Source organism: Homo sapiens, chromosome 12 (assembly GCF_000001405.40).
Source record: "Homo sapiens chromosome 12, GRCh38.p14 Primary Assembly".
Lineage (NCBI taxonomy): Eukaryota > Metazoa > Chordata > Mammalia > Primates > Hominidae > Homo > Homo sapiens.
Window position 1 is genome coordinate 63,807,287 of NC_000012.12, and position 17,480 is coordinate 63,824,766.

Consider the following 17,480-nt stretch of genomic DNA (forward strand, 5'->3'; position numbering starts at 1 on the left):
ACCATAACTCTGGTTAAATCCAGCTCTCTGCCTACTCCATGCCTGCACCCATGCAACTACACATAATTGGAGAAAGGTGCTAATTGACCTTTATTTAAACACGTGACTTTGAACCTCAGGTGCCCAGCAGTCTTATATTTCCCTTGTCCATATATTCTCCCACTCTCCTAGAAGGCTGTTTTATACCTTCTTCTCTCCTACACTCTAACACCTCCGCCTTTCTTACTTTATGACCCTATTGCTTATTTCACTGAGAATAGTCAGGAGAAAGCATCTATCTTTTTTTTTTTCTTTTGAGACTGAGTTTCACTCTTATTGCCCAGGCTGTAGTGCAGTGACAGGATCTCGGCTCACTGCAACCTCTACCTCCCAGGTTCAAGCGATTCTTCTGCCTCAGCCTCCCGTGTAGTTGGGATTACAGGTGCACGCCATCACGCCCGGCTAATTATTGTATTTAGTAGAGACGGGGTTTTACCTTGTTGGCCAGGTTGGTCTCGAACTCCTGACCTCAGGTGATCCACCCGCCTTGGCCTCATGAAGTGCTGGGATTACAGGCGTGAGCCACCGCACCCAGCCGCGTCTATCTTTCTTTACTGATCTTTCAGTTTCTACCCTTGCCCCTGTACAGTCCATTCTCAACACAATAGCCAGATTGATTCTGATGAAACCTACATCACGTCATGTCACCCCATGATCAAAAGCCTGCATGATAGAGTCCCGTGTGACCATTCAGACTTTATCTTCTGCGCCTGTTCCCTCAGTTACCCTACCTCAGCCACCCTGGCTTCCCCGCAGCTCCTTGAACATGCCAGGCACATGCTGTCTCATGGCCTTCACTCTTGCTTGCTCTTTTATCCCGCCAGATCTACGTGGCTTGCTCCTTCATCCCCAACTCTGTGCTCAGATGCTGCCGCAGTAAGACAGTCCCTCATCACTTATTTAAGATTGCAACCCTACCCCCTTAGAAACTCCTGCTCTACTTACTCCTTTGCTCTTTTCTCACAGTATTCTACCCCATCTAAATAATTTACTGACTTCACTTGGTCACTATCCATCTCCACCACTAGAACTAGAATATATGCTCCATGAGGGCAAGGTAGGGAAGAGAGGACCTAGCACTCCCAAAGTATCGGTTGAATTATTATTATCCATTCAGAAGTGTTACGGTGACTCCTAGATTTTATAAATGTACAACTGTAAAATGTTCCAATTCTTCAACATTTTTAAGAAATCTGTTTGGGCCAGGATTTTGGATATCTCTTATGCCTATCATCTCTATAAAGTTTCACCATTTCCTGAAACTGATTTTATTAAAAGATAAGGTATTTTTGTTCACAAACTATATACTTAGTAAAGTGAAAACTACAGTTGTTTTTCTGATTTTCTAGCTGGCAGCCTCAGGAAACAAATGAAAGTCTTAAGAATTACCAAGATGCCTTGCTTCAGAGTGATCTCACATTGTGCCCGGTCGGAGTAAACACAGAATGCTATCGAATCTATGAGGCTTGCTCCTATGGCTCCATTCCTGTGGTGGAAGACGTGATGACAGCTGGCAACTGTGGGAATACATCTGTGCACCACGGTGCTCCTCTGCAGTTACTCAAGTCCATGGGTGCTCCCTTTATCTTTATCAAGAACTGGAAGGAACTCCCTGCTGTTTTAGAAAAAGAGAAAACTATAATTTTACAAGAAAAAATTGAAAGAAGAAAAATGTTACTTCAGTGGTATCAGCACTTCAAGACAGAGCTTAAAATGAAATTTACTAATATTTTAGAAAGCTCATTTTTAATGAATAATAAAAGTTAATTATCTTTTTGAGCTAACATGTGATTTTTAAAATCATTTTGACTACTGGGTGTATAAATGTGTTTGTGTGTGTATGTATTTATAGATGTTCTTTAAGGTACCCTTGAAAACTCTACATTATGTATGCCACATAATGACATTTCAGTCAGTGGTAGACTACATATATGATAGTGGTCCCATAAGATTATAATGGAGCTGAAAAATTTCTATCGCCTAGTGATGTCATAGCCTAGTGATGACATATGTATTGCAATACATCACTCACGTGTTTGTGGTGATACTGGTGTAAACAAATCTATTGCACTGCCAGTCAAGTAAAAGTACAGCAATTATGTCCTGTACATAATATTTAATAATGACAATAAATGACTATGTTACTGGTTTATGTATTTACTATACTATACTTTTTACAATTTGTATTAGTTCTTGCATTGCTATGAATAAATGCCTGAGATTGAGTAATTTATAAAGAAGAGAGGTTTAATTGGCTCACAGTTCAACAGACTGTACGGGAAGCATGAAAACTTCAGGAAACTTAACAATCCTGGCAGAAAGCGAAGGGGAAGCAGACATGTCTTCACGTGGCCAGAGCAGAGGGAAAAGGGGGTGGGTGCTACACACTTTTAAACAACCAGATCTCACAAGCACTCACTACCAGGAAAGCAGCACCATAGGGGAAATCCACCTCCATGACCCAATCTCCTCCCACCAGGCCCTGCCTCCAACACTGGGGATTACAATTCAACATGAGGTTTGGGTGAGGCACAGATCCAAACCATATCATCATTATTTTCGAGTGTACTACTTGTACTTATTAAAAAAAAAAAAAAAGTTAAACAGCCTCAGGCAGATCCTTCAGGAGGTATCCAGAAGAAGAAGGCATTGCTATCAGGAGATGGCAGCTCCATGCCTATTATTGCCCCTGAAGGCCTTGTGGTGGGGTGAGATGTGGAGGTGGAAGACAGTGATGTTAATGATTCTTACTCTGTCTAGGCTTAGGCTAATGCGGTTGTGTCTTCATTTTTAACAAAAAGTAAGAAAATAAAAGTAACAAATTTTTTAAATTTTTAAATAGACTAAAGTTTATAAAATAAGGATATAAAAAATATTTTTGTACAGCAGTATAATGTTTTCAGCAGTGTTATTATAAAATAATCAAAAGGTTTAAAAAGTTATAAAGTAAAAATTTACAGTAAGCTAACATTAATTTATTCGTCAAGAAAGAAAAATATTTTCTTTTTTCTTTTTCTTTTTTTTTTTTTTTTTGAGACGAAGTTGTTCTTATTGCCCAGGCTGGAGTGCAGTGCCATGATCTCGGCTCACCGCAACCTCTGCCTCCCAGGTTCAAGCGATTCTCCTGCTTCAGCCTCCCAGGTAGCTGGGATAGCAGGCACCTGCCACCACGCCCAGCTAATTTTTTATATTTTTAGTAAAGACGGGGTTTCATCATGTTGGCCAGGCTGGTCTTGAACTCTTAACCTCAGGTGATCCATCTGCCTTGGCCTCCCAAAGTGGTGGGATTACAGGTGTGAGCTATCGCACTCAGCCAGAAAAATATTTTTTTATAAATTTAGTGTAGGTTAAATATACAGGGTTTATAAAGTCTACAGTAGTTTACAGTAATGTCCTAGGTCTTCACATTCACTCACCACTCACTCATTCACTCAGAGCAACTTCCAGGCCTGCAAGCTCCATTCATAAAAGCTCTACACAGATGTGCCATTTTAATATTTTATATCATATTTTTACTGTACCTTTTCTATGTTTAACTACACAAATACTTACATTTGTGTTACAATTGCCTATGGTATTCAGTACAGTGAAGTGCTATACATATAGGTTTGCATCCTAGGAGCCATAGCCTAGGTGTGTAGTAGGCTGTACTATTCAGGTTTGCATAAGTACACTCTATGATGTTTGCATGACAAAACCATGTAAGGATGTGTTTCTAAGGACATACCCCTGTCATTAAGCCATGCATGGCTATAGTTCTTTAGTATCTTCAGAAAGAATTAGAGTCCCGCTTGCTGTAAGTTGTCTGGCATATGACTTGGCATCTTCAGTGTGTCACAGGCCCTCAAATGGCTCTTTTAGCCCCACCTAGATGTCTTTTGGGCACTTAAACCACATAACTACAACTGTATTCGTTATTGTCTTTTTCCACAATATACACACACAAACCTATTTCCTCTCAAACATTTTTAATTTCAGTAAATGGTTTCATTAGCTGTTTCCCAAGCTACAATCTGTAACATCATATTTATTCCTCCCTATTCCGCCAATTAATCACCAAATTATGTGCCTTTTACCCCCAAGTCTTCCTAGAATAAGGCCTCTCCCTCCATCCCCACCACCTCTCCCTCATTTGCAGATTTTGTCTTGTCTCAGAGGGACAACCACAATAGTGTGTCTTCCCTGCCTCTCCAACTCTCAGCACTGCCTTAGTTTCATGGGTGCAAGTTAATCATTTCCAATTTCAACAAACTTTAAATCTGAAATGTCAAGTTCATTGAAGGAAAAATGCCATGAAGGAATAATAATAGGTCAGCCTCGGTGGCTTGTGCCTTGTAATGCTGGAGTTTTGAGAGGCCAGTGCAGGAAGATCACTTAAGGACAGGAGATCAAGACCAGCCTGGGTCACGTAGTGAGACCCATCTTTACAAAAAAACTTTAAATTAGTGAAGGGTTGTGGCATGCAGCTGTAGTTCCAGCTACCTGGGGGGCTGAAGCAGCAATGAGCTATGATCACACCACCGCACTCCAGCCTGGATGACAGAGTGAGATCCCGTATGAAAAAGGAAGAGGAAGAGGAAGAAGAAGAGGAGGAAGAGGAAGAGGGAGAAGGAGGAGAAGGAGAAGAGGAAGAAGAAAAGGAAGAAGAGGAGGAAGGAGGGGGAGGGGGGAGGAGAAGGAGGAAGACAAGGAGAGGAAGAGGAAGAGGAGGAAGAAGAAGAAGGAGGGGAAGGAGAGGAAGGAGAAGGAGAAGGAGACACACACACACATATTCCTAAAATAGAAATACTATCAGGTCACAATCAATTAAAGGCATCTGTGGCATTTTGTTGCCTATATCTTAAAATTACCTTTTTTTTTCTTTTTGAGACAGATACTCACTTTTTCGCCCAAGCTGGAGTACAGTAGTGGTGCAATCTTGGCTCACTGCAACCTCTACCTCCTGGGTTCAAGCAATTCTCCTGCCTCAGCCTCCTGAGTACCTGGGATTACAGGCATGCACCACCACGCCCGGATAATTTTGTATTTTTAGTAGAGATGGAGTTTTTACCACGTTGGCCAGGCTGGTCTCAAACTCCTGACCTCAAGTGATCCACCTGCCTTAGCCTCCCAAAGTGCTGGGATTACAGGCATGGGCCACTGCACCCAGCTAAAATTAACATTTTATAAATTGTTATTCCAAGATCCTTCACAATCTGACTCCAACCTATTTCTCCAGCCTTGTCTTCTTCTACCCCTCAACAAGTGCTCGAGTTTTCCCTCATTATCTGTTCAGTAAACATGCTCTCTTGGGTATACTTTTATATAAGCTTTTTTCTCTTTCTGAAAAAAAATGTGTCATTCATACCACGATTTCAGTAGCTAAATAACATTCATTTCATTCAGTTACTAGATATATTTCTTTGTTAGTTTACCTCCTTCCACTGTAATATAAAACTCTAGCAGAAAAGGAGCTTTGAACATTTTTTTCACCTTTATCATGTATAAGCCACAGTAATTTTGAGTCTCTAACAAAGTAATGGAATCTATAGCATAACAAATACATCTAAACATATTTTTTGAGATATTATATTCTAAAAGTATGTTTTAATCAGCATGGTGCCAGGAAGGTGTATCTACACTGTGAGTGAATTCTTATTTCACGACAGAGACTATGTTTTGTCCTAGAGGGAAAGAATGAATCAAACAACTCTCCCTTTTGATTATTTGTAACAATGAAGCTGAAGAACTTAAACAGCACCCTTGCTTTTCTTTAACACTCATACACTTAAATTGATGAAATCGGCCAGGCATGGTGACTCCCGCCTATAATCCCAGCAGTTTTAGAGGCCAAGGCGGGCAGATCACTTGAGCCCAGGAGTTTAAGACCAGCCTGGGCAACATGGTGAAACCTAGCTCTACAAAAATACTAAAGTTAACTGGGCATGGTGGCATATGCCCGCAGTCCCAACTACTCAGGAGGCTAAGATGGGAGGATCACTTGAGCCCAAGAGGTCGAGGCTGCAGTGAGCCATGATCACGCCACTGCACTTCACCCTAGGCAACAGAACAAGATCCTGTCTGAAAAAAATAAATTAATTAATAAATTCATGAAATCTTGTACTGTTTTTCAAATTTATATTTTATTTAGGCAATTTTTTAAATAATGTAATATTTTTTCAGGTGGTAAATTTCTACCACAAAAACAATTTGATGTTACTGAGATTAATTACAAATTGAAGAAACAATCAGGTGTTGTATAAAAAAATCTTACCTATGAGATATATTATTTGATCTACAAAATAATTTGAGATTTAAAGCTATAACTAGCAAGTAGAACTTCTGAAATATAAAGTTTAATACATTATCAATAGTTTCTAACATAAGACCTTCATAAATATAAAACAACAGCTTAAATGTCTATGAAAAATCAGTATTCACAAGCATCGCCAATTATTGATAGTCATTCATTATACTTGTTACCATGAAAGCAGTAATTAAAACACTATTTTTTTTTTTTAATATGAAGTCTCACTCTGTCACCCAGGTTGGAGTGCAGTGGCACAATCTTGGTTCACTGAAACCTCCACCTCCTGGGTTTAAGCAGTTCTCCTGCCTCAACCTCCCGAGTAGCTGGGATTACAGGTGCCCACCACCACACCTGGCTAATTTTTCTACTTTTAGTGGAGACGGATTTTCACCATGTTGGCCAGGCTGGTCTCGAACTCCTGACCTCAAGAGTTCCAACCACCTCGGCCTCCCAAAGTACCGGGATTACAGGTGACCCACTGCACCCGGCCTAAAACACTATTTTAACAGTTATAGTTATTTTATTTAAGTAAGCTAATTAGGCAAAAATGTGTCTTCTAGTTTTGTACATTCTAGTTGGGTTATTTCCTGTAGCAGAAATACAGATTTTTTTAATACAGATATTTTTAAAGTTACCAGTTGAAAGGAAACTGCATTCTTTCTTTTTGACTTGCAATCTCACTCCCTAGGAGTCCTACATTTGTGCTAGAGGTGAAGTTGTTGCCAAAGCAGCCACAGCAGGGGACAGTACGGTCTAGGCTGTTCAACTGTCGAGATGCGTTTTTGTTGAACTACATCTTATTGCAAAGATTCATATGTGTCCTGCTTTACTGTTAAAATAACTTTTTCCAAAAAGAAGCAAATTATGCAAGTGAATATAGTACATTTTTTACAGTCTAGTGTGTGGCAAACTTCCACTAAAGTTTCACTAAAACACTCCTTTTACACAAACCTATTGAATAGTTACTATATTGCAGGTACTGCTCTAGGCAGCAAACCACAGTTTCTAGGACTTAATCTCATTGTCGGCCTTTAAATTTTGCAGAGTCTCTAATGTTAAAAAAAAAAAAAAGTCACACATTAACACATTAAGCACTTGAAAATCTCAGATGCTGAAGCCTTTGTCCTTTAGAATACACATTTTGCCTCTTTCATTATGATAACTGGTTGTATCAATCCCAACACAAATGACAGATTCTCGGATTGTTTACTGAGAGAAGTTAGTCAAATAAGCTTCCGTCTGTTGGTTGCCAAAATATCCAGATGGCTAAATCAACCTGGTATTTAAACTTATCTTCGATTCAGCTATGGTTTCTATGTGTCTGTCTTGCTTGAGATAGATTTGAATTGCTTTAAATAAATTATCTATTTACCTTTCTGAGATGAAAATGGAAAACACTACTGTTGCAACTTAACTTCCTGGGTAGTGAAGCCTTGGTTTTAAAAACCACATAGCAGAAGAGGAATTCCCCTGTCAGGCTGGAGGGGCCTCACTAAACCATCACCACTTTGCTCCAAATTGGCCCCTAATTCTTTCCAGGGAGGTGCAGTTTGGGCCTAAATTTTTTTTTTTTTTAGACGGAGCTTCGCTCTTTCACCCAGGCTGGAGTGAAGTGGCACAATCTCAGCTCACTGCAACCTCTGCCCGCTGGGTTCAAGCAATTCTCCTGCTTCAGCCTCCTGAGTAGCTGAGATTATAGGCGTGTGCCACCACGCCTGGCTACTTTCTGTATTTTTTTTTTTTCTTAGTAGAGATAAGGGTTTTGCCATGTTGGCCAGGCTGGTCTTGAACTCCCGACCTCAGGTGATCCACCCACCTCAGCCTCCCAAAATGCTAGGATTACAGGCGTGAGCCACCGTGCCCGGTCTTGGGCCTAAATTTTTAAAACATTCCTTGTTTGCGTTTTTCTCTCTTTGATTTACTCTCCTTTTGCAATCTGTTGTTTGAGATGCTTTATGTGTTTAAAGCTTTTAAAAATTCACTAAAAACAAAACAGAGAAACGTAATAATGAATCATTAACTCAGAAACACATTTCTAACTGCTGTTGACATTTTTTTTTTTATTATTTCCTACTGGCTTTCTGTTCCTTCCCTTCTCTTGCTAAAACTCCAGCTAGAGTTTGTTTTAGTTGCATAAAAACTCTTCTTCAGTGAGCTTTTGCTAAGCTATACCGCTCATCTGGTCTTGATTCTGACTTTGGATATTTTGTTCATCATGGATTATTTTACATTACTTTTGGTGGTAGTAATTGCATGAAAATATCACTCACCTTGATTACTATGCTGTTTGGCACCCCCTGAAGCTTGCCCCAATGAGAGTCCTTTACTCTCAGCACCCTAGTCCTGGCCTGATAATAAGCAACCTCAATATCTCAGTGGCGTACAAAAACAGACATGTATTTCTTGTCCTCATTACACTGAGGTTGCCTGTCCGCTGCAACTGTGCAGGGCATGGCTGGGCCCTGCTCAACTTGGTCCCACGTGTCTTAGTCTTTCCAAAACGCGTGAGGAAGGAGTAGCCCATCTCTGAAATATTTTATTCTCACAGTGAAGTATCAAAACCGGACAGGACAATCATTTCCGTACCTTGTGATGAGTCATGCCCTGGATCTCAAAGTTTCTGCCTAGAACTGGCACCCTGTCCCTTCAGCCCAGTTTCCAAAGGCCAAAGCAGTCACAGTGGCAAGCCTGAACTCAAAGAGGTGGAGGTGTATACTCCATCTTCTGAAAGAGACAAAATATTGGAAATAGTCTGAGTTACCACACCCTACTAGTGAAACCTGAAGTACAGGAGACATGGTGTTAAAGTCCTGGAGGCTATTCACAAGCATTCCAGTTCTACTCTCCTGAGCACGTGCTAGGATTACACTCAGTGGACCTCTTGGAAGCTAGGACTATCATTGTGGCTTACTTTAGCCAACAGAGTATAATGTAGGTAATGTGTTTCAATCCCTGGGAGAAGCCAAAGTATGATCATCTCATTCCATTTTTTCTTCTTCTTCTTTTTTTTTTTTCTTTTTATTTTTTGAGGCAGAGTTTTGCTCTTGTTGCCCAGGCTGGAGTGCAGTGGTGCAATCTTGGCTCACTGCAACCTCCGCCTCCCTGGTTTAATTGATTCTCCTGCTTCAGCCTCCCAAGTAGCTGGGGTTACAGGCATGCGCCACCACGCCCAGCTTATTTTTGTATTATTAGTAGAGACAGGGTTTCACCATGTTGGTCAGGCTGGTGTTGAACTCCTGACCTCAAGTGATCCACCTGCCTCAGCCTCCCAAAGTGCTGAGATTACACCTATGAGCCACTGCACTCAGCCTCTCATTCTCTTTGTCTACCTCACCAGTTAGGGAAGCTTGTGTCCAAATGGACCTCAGTCAGCCTGCATCCCTAAGTGAGAAGAACCCCCCAGCAACTCACAATGAACATGAAAAATGAGATACATAAATTTTTACTGTACTAAGTCATTGTGATTTGAGGGTTGTTTGTTGTCACAGCATAACCCAGCCCATCCTGACTAGCACATTTGGCTTTCAGGGATGCTTCCCCTCATTGTCTGGCTTATGCATTTCTAGGAAATGAAAGATAATCACTCTTCTCTGATAGGTTAACCAATTCTTCTAAAATTAGTGGTCTGATAAGAAGCAGGAGATTTACATAGTCTCAAAGTATTTCCTTGCAATATACTTAACTAGTTATAAAGGAAAAAACATACAAGTTTACAGTTGAGAAAGCACCAACTTAACCAACTGATCAATACATTATCAGTAATGGGATACGGGAAGGCACAGCAAGATGGTGGAATAAAAGTCTCCACCGATCTCCTTCCCACCCCCCACTGCAGAGACACCAATTTAATAATGGTCTACACAGAAAAGAACACCTTCATAAGAACCAAAAATCAAGTAAGCCCTTATCATACCTGAGTTTAACTTTGTATTGCTGAAAGAGCAATGAAGAGATAGAGAAAACAGTTCTGAATCATCAATGCCACCCCTCCTCATGCCATGGCATTGGCGGCATGGTGCAAAGAGCATCTATGGGTGCTGGGGGAGGGAAAATACAGCAATTATGAGGCATTAAACTTGGTGCTGTCCTGTTATAGCAGAAAGGAAAACCGGACCAAACTCAGCTGACATCCACCCACAGAGGGGGTCTTTCAACCAGCCCTAGCCAGAGGGGAATTGCCAACCCCAGCAGTCTGAACTTGAGTTCCCACAAACCTTGCCACTGAGGGCTAAAGTGCTCTAGGTCTCTAAATAAACTTGAAAGGTAGTCTAGGTCATAGGACTGCAACTCATAGGTGAGTCCTAGTGCTGAACTAGGCCCAGAGACAGTGGACTTGGGGGGTACATGACTACTGAGACATTAGCTGGCATAACAAAGGGAGTGCTGGCATCACCCCTCCCCTAACTCCAGGCTGCACAGCTTGCAGCTCCAAAAGGACCCCTTCCTTCCACTTGAGGTGAGGGAAGAACCACGAGGACTTTGTCTTGAATCTTGGATGCCAGGTCACCCACAGCAGGACAAAGCATCAGAGTCATGAGCTCCCTGTTCCAGGCCGTAGCTCCTGGACATTTCTAGACATGCCCTGGGCCAGAAGGGAACCCACTGTTTTGAAGGAAAGGATCCAGTCCTGGTGGCATTCATCACCTGCTAACTGAAGAGCCCCTGGGCTCTGAATAACCACCAGTTATACCCACGTACTACATCAAGAGCGTTGGTGAACCTCTGGAACTTGCTGGCTTCAGGTGAGACTCAGCATATTACCAGCTGTGGTAACTACAGGGAAAAACTCCTTCTGCTTGAGAAAAGCAGAGGAAAACATGAAGGCGACTTTGTCTTGCACCTTAGGTAACAGCACAGCCACAGCTGGGTAGAGCACCCAGTTGGCTCATGAGGTCCCCAATTCTAGGACTTGACCCTTGGTGGGCATTTCTGGACCTGCCCTGGGCCAAGAGGAGAACACCCCCATGAAGGGTGAGTCCCAGGCCAGGGACCATCCAAAAAAAAAAGCTGACTTAAGAGCCCTTGAGCCTTAAGGGAACATTTGCAGTAGTCTGGCCCAGACAGTGAACCTCTGGGATTTGCTGGCTTCAGGTGAGACAATAAACACTTAACTCTTCAATGCCCACACACAAGCAAACATCCTTAAGTATCAACACACTCTAGGAAAATGTGACTTCACCAAATAAACTAAATAAAGCAGTGGGAACCAATTCTGGAAAAACAGAGATACGTGAATGTTCAGATGAAAAATTCAAAATAGCTGTGTTGAAGACACTCAAAGAAATTCAAGATAACACAGAGAAGGAATTCAGAATTCAATTCTATAAGAAAAAATTTAACAAAGAGATTGAAATAAGAAGAATCAAGCAGAAATTCTCCAGCTGAAAAATGCAATTGGCATACTGAAGAATACATTAGAGGCCTTTAATAGCAGAATGAATCACGCAGAAGAAAGAATTAGTGAGCATGAGAACAGCTATTTGAAAATACACAGTCAGAAGAGACAAAAGAAAAAAATAATAAAAAACAATGAAGCATCCCTAAAGGATCTAGAAAATAGCCTCAAAAGGGAAAATCTAAGAGTTATTGGCCTTAAAAAGGAGGTAGAGAGACAGGGGTAGAAAGTTTATTCAAAGCGATAATAACAGAGAACTTCCCAAACATAGAGAAAGATATAAATATCCAAGTACAAGAAGATTACAGAACACTAAGGTGATTTAACCCAAAGATAACTACCTTAAGGCATTTAATAATCAAACTCCCACAGGTCAAGGATAAAGAAAGGATCCTAAAAGCAGCAAGAGAAAAGAAACAAATAACATACAATGGAGCTCTAATATATCTGGCAGCAGACTTTTCAGTGAAAATCTTACAGGCCAAGGGAGAGTGGCATGACATATTTAAAATGCTGAATAAAAAAAATACTTTTACCCTAGAATAGTATATCCAGTCCAAACATCCTTCAAATATGGAGGATAAATAAAGACTTTCCCAGACAAACAAAAACTGAGGGATTTCATCAATACCAGACCTGTCCTACAAGAAATGCTAAAGAGAGTTCTTCAATTTGAAAGAAAAGGTACAAAACTCACTGGTAATAAATAAGTACATGGAGAAACACAGACTATGATAACACTGTAACTGTGGTATGTAAACTACTCTTGTCATAAGCAGAAAGATTAAATGATGAATCAATCAAAAATAATAACTATGACAACTTTTTAAGACATGAACAGTACAATAAGATATAAATAGAAACAACAAAAAATTAAAAAGGGGGGATGAAGTTAGAGTGTAAACTTTTTATTAGGTTTCTTTTTGCTTGTTTGTTTATACAAACAGTGATAAGTTTTTATCAGCTTAAAATAATGGGTTATAAGATAGCGTTTGCAAGCCGCATGGTAATCTCAAATGAAAAAAACATGCCATGAATACACAAAAAACAAAAAGCAAGGAACTAAATCATATCACCAGAGAAAATAATATTTACTAAGGGAAAACAGGAAGAAAAGAAAGAAAGAAGACCACAAAACAGCCAGAAAACAATTAACAAAATTGCAAAAGTAAGTTCTTACTTATCAATAATAACATTGAATGTAAATTCTTCAATGGACTAACCTCTCCAATCAAAAGACATAGAGTAGCTAAATGGATAAAAAAATAAGACCCACTGATCTGTTGCTTACAAGAAAGACACTTCACCTACAAAGACACACATAGACTGAAAATAAAGGGATAGAAAGATACTCCCTGCCAATAAAAACCAAAAAAGAGCAGGAGTAGCTATACTTAGACAAAATCGATTTCAAGACAAATCTAAAGAAGAGACAAAGAAGGTCACTATGTAAGGATAAAGGGGTCAGTTCAGCAAGAGGATATAACAATTTTAAATGTATATGTGCCCAACACTGGAGCACTCAGATATATAAAGTAAATATTATTAGAGCTAAAGAGAGAGATAGTTCCCAATATGATACTACCTGAAGACTTCAACACCCCACTTTCAGCACTGGACAGATCTTCCAGATAGAAAATTAATGAATTGGACCTAATCTGCATTATAAAACAAACGGATCTAATAGATATTTATGGAACATTTCATCCAATGGCTGCAGAACACACATTATTTTCCTCAGCACATAGATTATTCTCAAGAATAGACCATCTATTAGGTCACAAAATAAGTCTTAAAACATTAAAAAAAAAAAAAAAAAAACTGGGCCGGGTGCAGTGGCTCATGCCTGTAACCCAACACTTTGGGAGGCCGAGGCAGGCAGATCACAAGGTCAGGAGTTTGAGACCAGCCTGGCCAACATAGTGAAACCCCATCTCTACTAAAAATGCAAAAACTAGCCAGGCATGGTGGAACACACCTGTAGTCCCCGCTACTCGGGAGGCTGAGGCAAGGGAGTCACTCGAACCCAGGAGGCAGAGGTTGCAATGAGTTGAGATCACGCCACTGCACTCCAGCCCGGGTGACAGAGGGAGACTCAGTCTAAAAAAAACCCTGAAATAATATCAAGCATTTTCTCTGACCACAATGAAACAAAACTAGAAATTAATAACAAGAGGAATTTTGGAAACTATGCAAACATATGGAAATTAAACAATATACTCCTGAACGACCAGTGGATCAATGAAGTAATTAAAAAGGAAATTGAAATATTTATTGAATCAAATGATAATGGAAACACAACATACCAAAACCTATGGGATACAGCAAAAGCAGTACTAAGAGGGAATTTTATAGCTACAAGTGCCTACATCAGAAAAAAAGAAAAACTGGCCGGGCGTGGTGGCTCACGCCTGTAATCCCAGCACTTTGGGAGGGCTAGGCGGACAGATTACCTGAGGTCAGGAGTTCCATACCAGCCTGGCCAACATGGTGAAACCCCGTTTCTACTGAAAATACAAAAATTAGCCCCTTCTCCCGGCAGTTAGTGCTCAGAGTGCGGAGTGTGTGCTCCAGGCTCGGAACATACATTTATTATTAAAAAAAAATCTAAAAAAATATTTTAAAAACTTTCCCACAATTTACAAAAAATCCGCCTCTCCCCTGCCATAGACTTTTATTTTTTTCTTCTTCTTCTTTTATAAAGTAACCCCGTGAAGCAGCCGAGGCCGACTCGCCCGCCCGCAGCAGCTCCAAAAAGGAACCAAGAGACCGAGGCCTTCCCGCTGTCCGGACTGACACCTCCACCTTCGCCCGCAGCCAGCGGCAGCGGATCAACACCATTCTGGGGCGGTGAAGTAGTTTTCGATTCCGGGTGATTTTTGTCCCTCTGCGCTTGCGCTTGCGCTTGCCCCCGCTCACCTTCCCCCAGCTCCGGCCCCTAGCCCCAGCATTCGCTCTCCTCCTCTCACGGAAAGGTCGCGGCCTGTGGCCCTGCGAGCAGCAGTGCCGAGATGAACCCCAGTGCCCCCAGCTACGTCCTCGCTGTACGTGGGGGACCTCCATCCCGACGTGACCGAGGCGATGCTCTACAAGAAGTTCAGCGCGGCCGGGCTCATCCTCTCCATCCGGGTCTGCAGGGACATGATCACCCACGGCTCCTTGGGCTACGCGTATGTGAACTTCCAGTAGCCCGCGGACGCGGAGCATGCTGTGAACACTATGAATTTTGATGTTATAAAGGGCAAGCCAGTACGCATCGTGTAGTCTCAGCGTGATCCATCACTTCGCAAAAGTGGAGTGGGCTACATATTCATTAAAAATCTGGACAAATCCATTGATAATAAAGCACTGTATGATACATTTTTCTGCTTTTGGTAACATCCTTTCATGTAAGGTGGGCTGTGATGAAAATGATTCCAAGGGCTATGGATCTGTACACTTTGAGACACAGGAAGCAGCTGAAAGAGCTATGGAAAAAATGAATGGAATGCTCCTAAATGATCGCAAAGTATTTGTTGGACGATTTATGTCTCATAAAGAACGAGAAGCTGAACTTGGAGCTACGTGAAAGAGTTCACCAATGTTTACATCAAGAATTTCGGAGAAGACATGGATGATGAGCGCCTTAAGAATCTCTTTGGCAAGTTTGGGCCTGCCTTAAATGTGAAAGTAATGACTGGTGAAAGTGGAAAATCTAAAGGATTTGGATTTGTAAGCTTTGAAAGGCTTGAAGATGCACAGAAAGCTGTGGATGAAATGAAAGGAGCTCAATGGAAAACAAATTTATGTAGGTAGAGCTCAGAAAAAAGTGGAACGGCAGACAGAACTTAAGCGCAAATTTGAACAGGTGAGGCAAGATAGGATCACCAGATACCACCGTGTTAATCTTTATGTGAAAAATCTTGATGATGGCATTAATAATTAACGTCTCCGGAAAGAGTTTTCTCCATTTGGTACAATCACCAGTGCAAAGGTTATGATGGAGGGTGGTCGCTGCAAAGGGTTTGGTTTTGTATGTTTCTCCTCACCAGAAGAAGCCACTAAAGCAGTTACAGAAATGAATGGTAGAATTGTGGCCACAAAGCCATTGTATGTTGCTTTAGCTCAGCGCAAAGAAGAGTGCCAGGCTCACCTCACTAACCAGTATATGCAAAGAATGGCAAGTGTACGAGCTGTGCCCAATCTTGAAATCAACCCCTACCAGCCAGCACCTCCTTCAGGTTACTTCATGGCAGCTATCCCACAGACTCAGAACGGTGCTGCATACTATCCTCCTAGCCAAATTGCTCAACTAAGACCAAGTCCTCGCTGGACTGCTGAGGGTGCCAGACCCCATCCATTCCAAAATAGGCCCAGTGCTATCCGCCCGGCTGCTCCTAGACCACCATTTAGTACTATGAGACCAGCTTCTTCACAGGTTCCATGAGTTATGTCAACACAGCGTGTTGCTAACACATCGACACAGACAATGGGTCCACGTCCTGCAGCTGCTGCTGCTGCCACTCCACATTATAACTATGCTGCGGGAGTTCGCAGTCCTCAGAAACATCTTAATGCACAGCCACAAGTTACAATGCAACAGCCTGCTGCTCATGTACAAGGTCAGGAACCTTTGACTGCTTCCATGTTGGTATCTGCCCATGCTCAAGAGCAAAAGCAAATGTTGGGTGAACGGCTGTTTCCTCTTATTCAAGCCATGCACCTTACTCTTGCTGGTAAAATCACTGGCATGTTGTTGGAGATTGGTAATTCAGAACTTCTTCATATGCTGGAGTCTCCAGAGTCACTCCGTTCTAAGGTTAATGAAACTGTAGCTGTACTACAAGCCCACCAAGCTGAAGTGGCTGCCCAGAAAGCAGTTAACCGTGCCACCGGTGTTCCAACTGTTTAAAATTGATCAGGTACCATGAAAAGAAACTTGTGCTTCACAGAAGAAAAATATCTAAACATCGAAAAATGTAAATATTATTTTTTTAATAAACATTGCAAAATATAAAATAAATTTAAAAAGGAAAAGAAACTTTGAACCTTATGTACCGAGAAAATGCCAGGTCTAGCAAACATAATGCTAGTCCTAGATTACTTATTGATTTAAAAATTTTAAAAAAACACAAAAATAGTAAAATATGAAAACCAATTAATGTTTTATAGACTCTGGGAAAAAATTTTCAGCAAAGTGCAAAAATTTAAAGCATTCCTTTCTTTAATTTTGTAATTCTTTACTGTGGAATAGTTCAAAATGTCAGTTCTGTTTTAAGTAACAGAATTGATAACTGAGCTAGGAAACGTAATTTGGATTATAAAATTATTGCTTTAATAACAATTCCTTAAATGGTGAAAAAAATAATAATAATAAAATACAAAAATTAGCCGGGCATAGTGGCACGCGCCTGTAATCCCAGCTACTCAGGAGACTGAGGCAGGAGAATTTCTTGAACCCGGGAGGCAGAGGTTACAGTGAGCTGAGATCGCATCATTGTGTTCCAGCCTGGGTGACGGAGCAAGACCCCATCTCAAAAAAGAAGGAAGGAAGGGGGTGGGGGACGGGGAGGGGAGGGGAGAAGAGGCAGAAGGGTATTTGAGGGCATATGCTTTTTTCTCTCCATTAAATGAGGAACATAATATCACCCTGAAATTCCACTCCATTTTGTTAACCATGTGCAGAGGATATCGCTTTTAAAATACATATATTAAGGAACAGGCAACAGAGATTGTCCCTTAGGCGGGAAGCTGATGTGTAAAACAGACTCTTTTCCC

At 41.1% G+C, this 17,480-nt stretch overlaps 1 protein-coding gene, 1 long non-coding RNA gene, 1 other non-coding gene and 1 pseudogene across 5 annotated transcripts in view; 3 read left to right on the plus strand and 1 right to left on the minus strand.

The window, feature by feature from the left end:
* Nucleotides 1-2,276, plus strand: part of RXYLT1 (ribitol xylosyltransferase 1) — a 29,654-nt gene extending 27,378 nt beyond the window's left edge. For all 3 annotated transcript variants that reach the window (NM_001278237.2, NM_014254.3, XM_047428078.1), the window contains one exon: nucleotides 1,389-2,276. In NM_001278237.2, coding sequence (NP_001265166.1) covers nucleotides 1,389-1,806 — 418 coding nt within the window. In that variant the 3' untranslated portion in view covers nucleotides 1,807-2,276. The remainder of the gene's footprint in view (nucleotides 1-1,388) is intronic.
* RXYLT1-AS1 (RXYLT1 antisense RNA 1) lies at nucleotides 1,559-14,870 on the minus strand. Its single transcript, NR_126167.1, has 4 exons — nucleotides 14,643-14,870; nucleotides 8,915-9,052; nucleotides 4,921-5,021; nucleotides 1,559-1,654 (listed from the first exon to the last, which is right to left on the minus strand). It is a non-coding gene; the product is annotated as an RXYLT1 antisense RNA 1 (long non-coding RNA).
* On the plus strand, nucleotides 14,250-17,060 carry PABPC1P4 (poly(A) binding protein cytoplasmic 1 pseudogene 4; annotated as a pseudogene).
* MIR10527 (microRNA 10527) lies at nucleotides 16,377-16,441 on the plus strand. Its single transcript, NR_162118.1, has one exon. It is a non-coding gene; the product is annotated as a microRNA 10527 (primary transcript).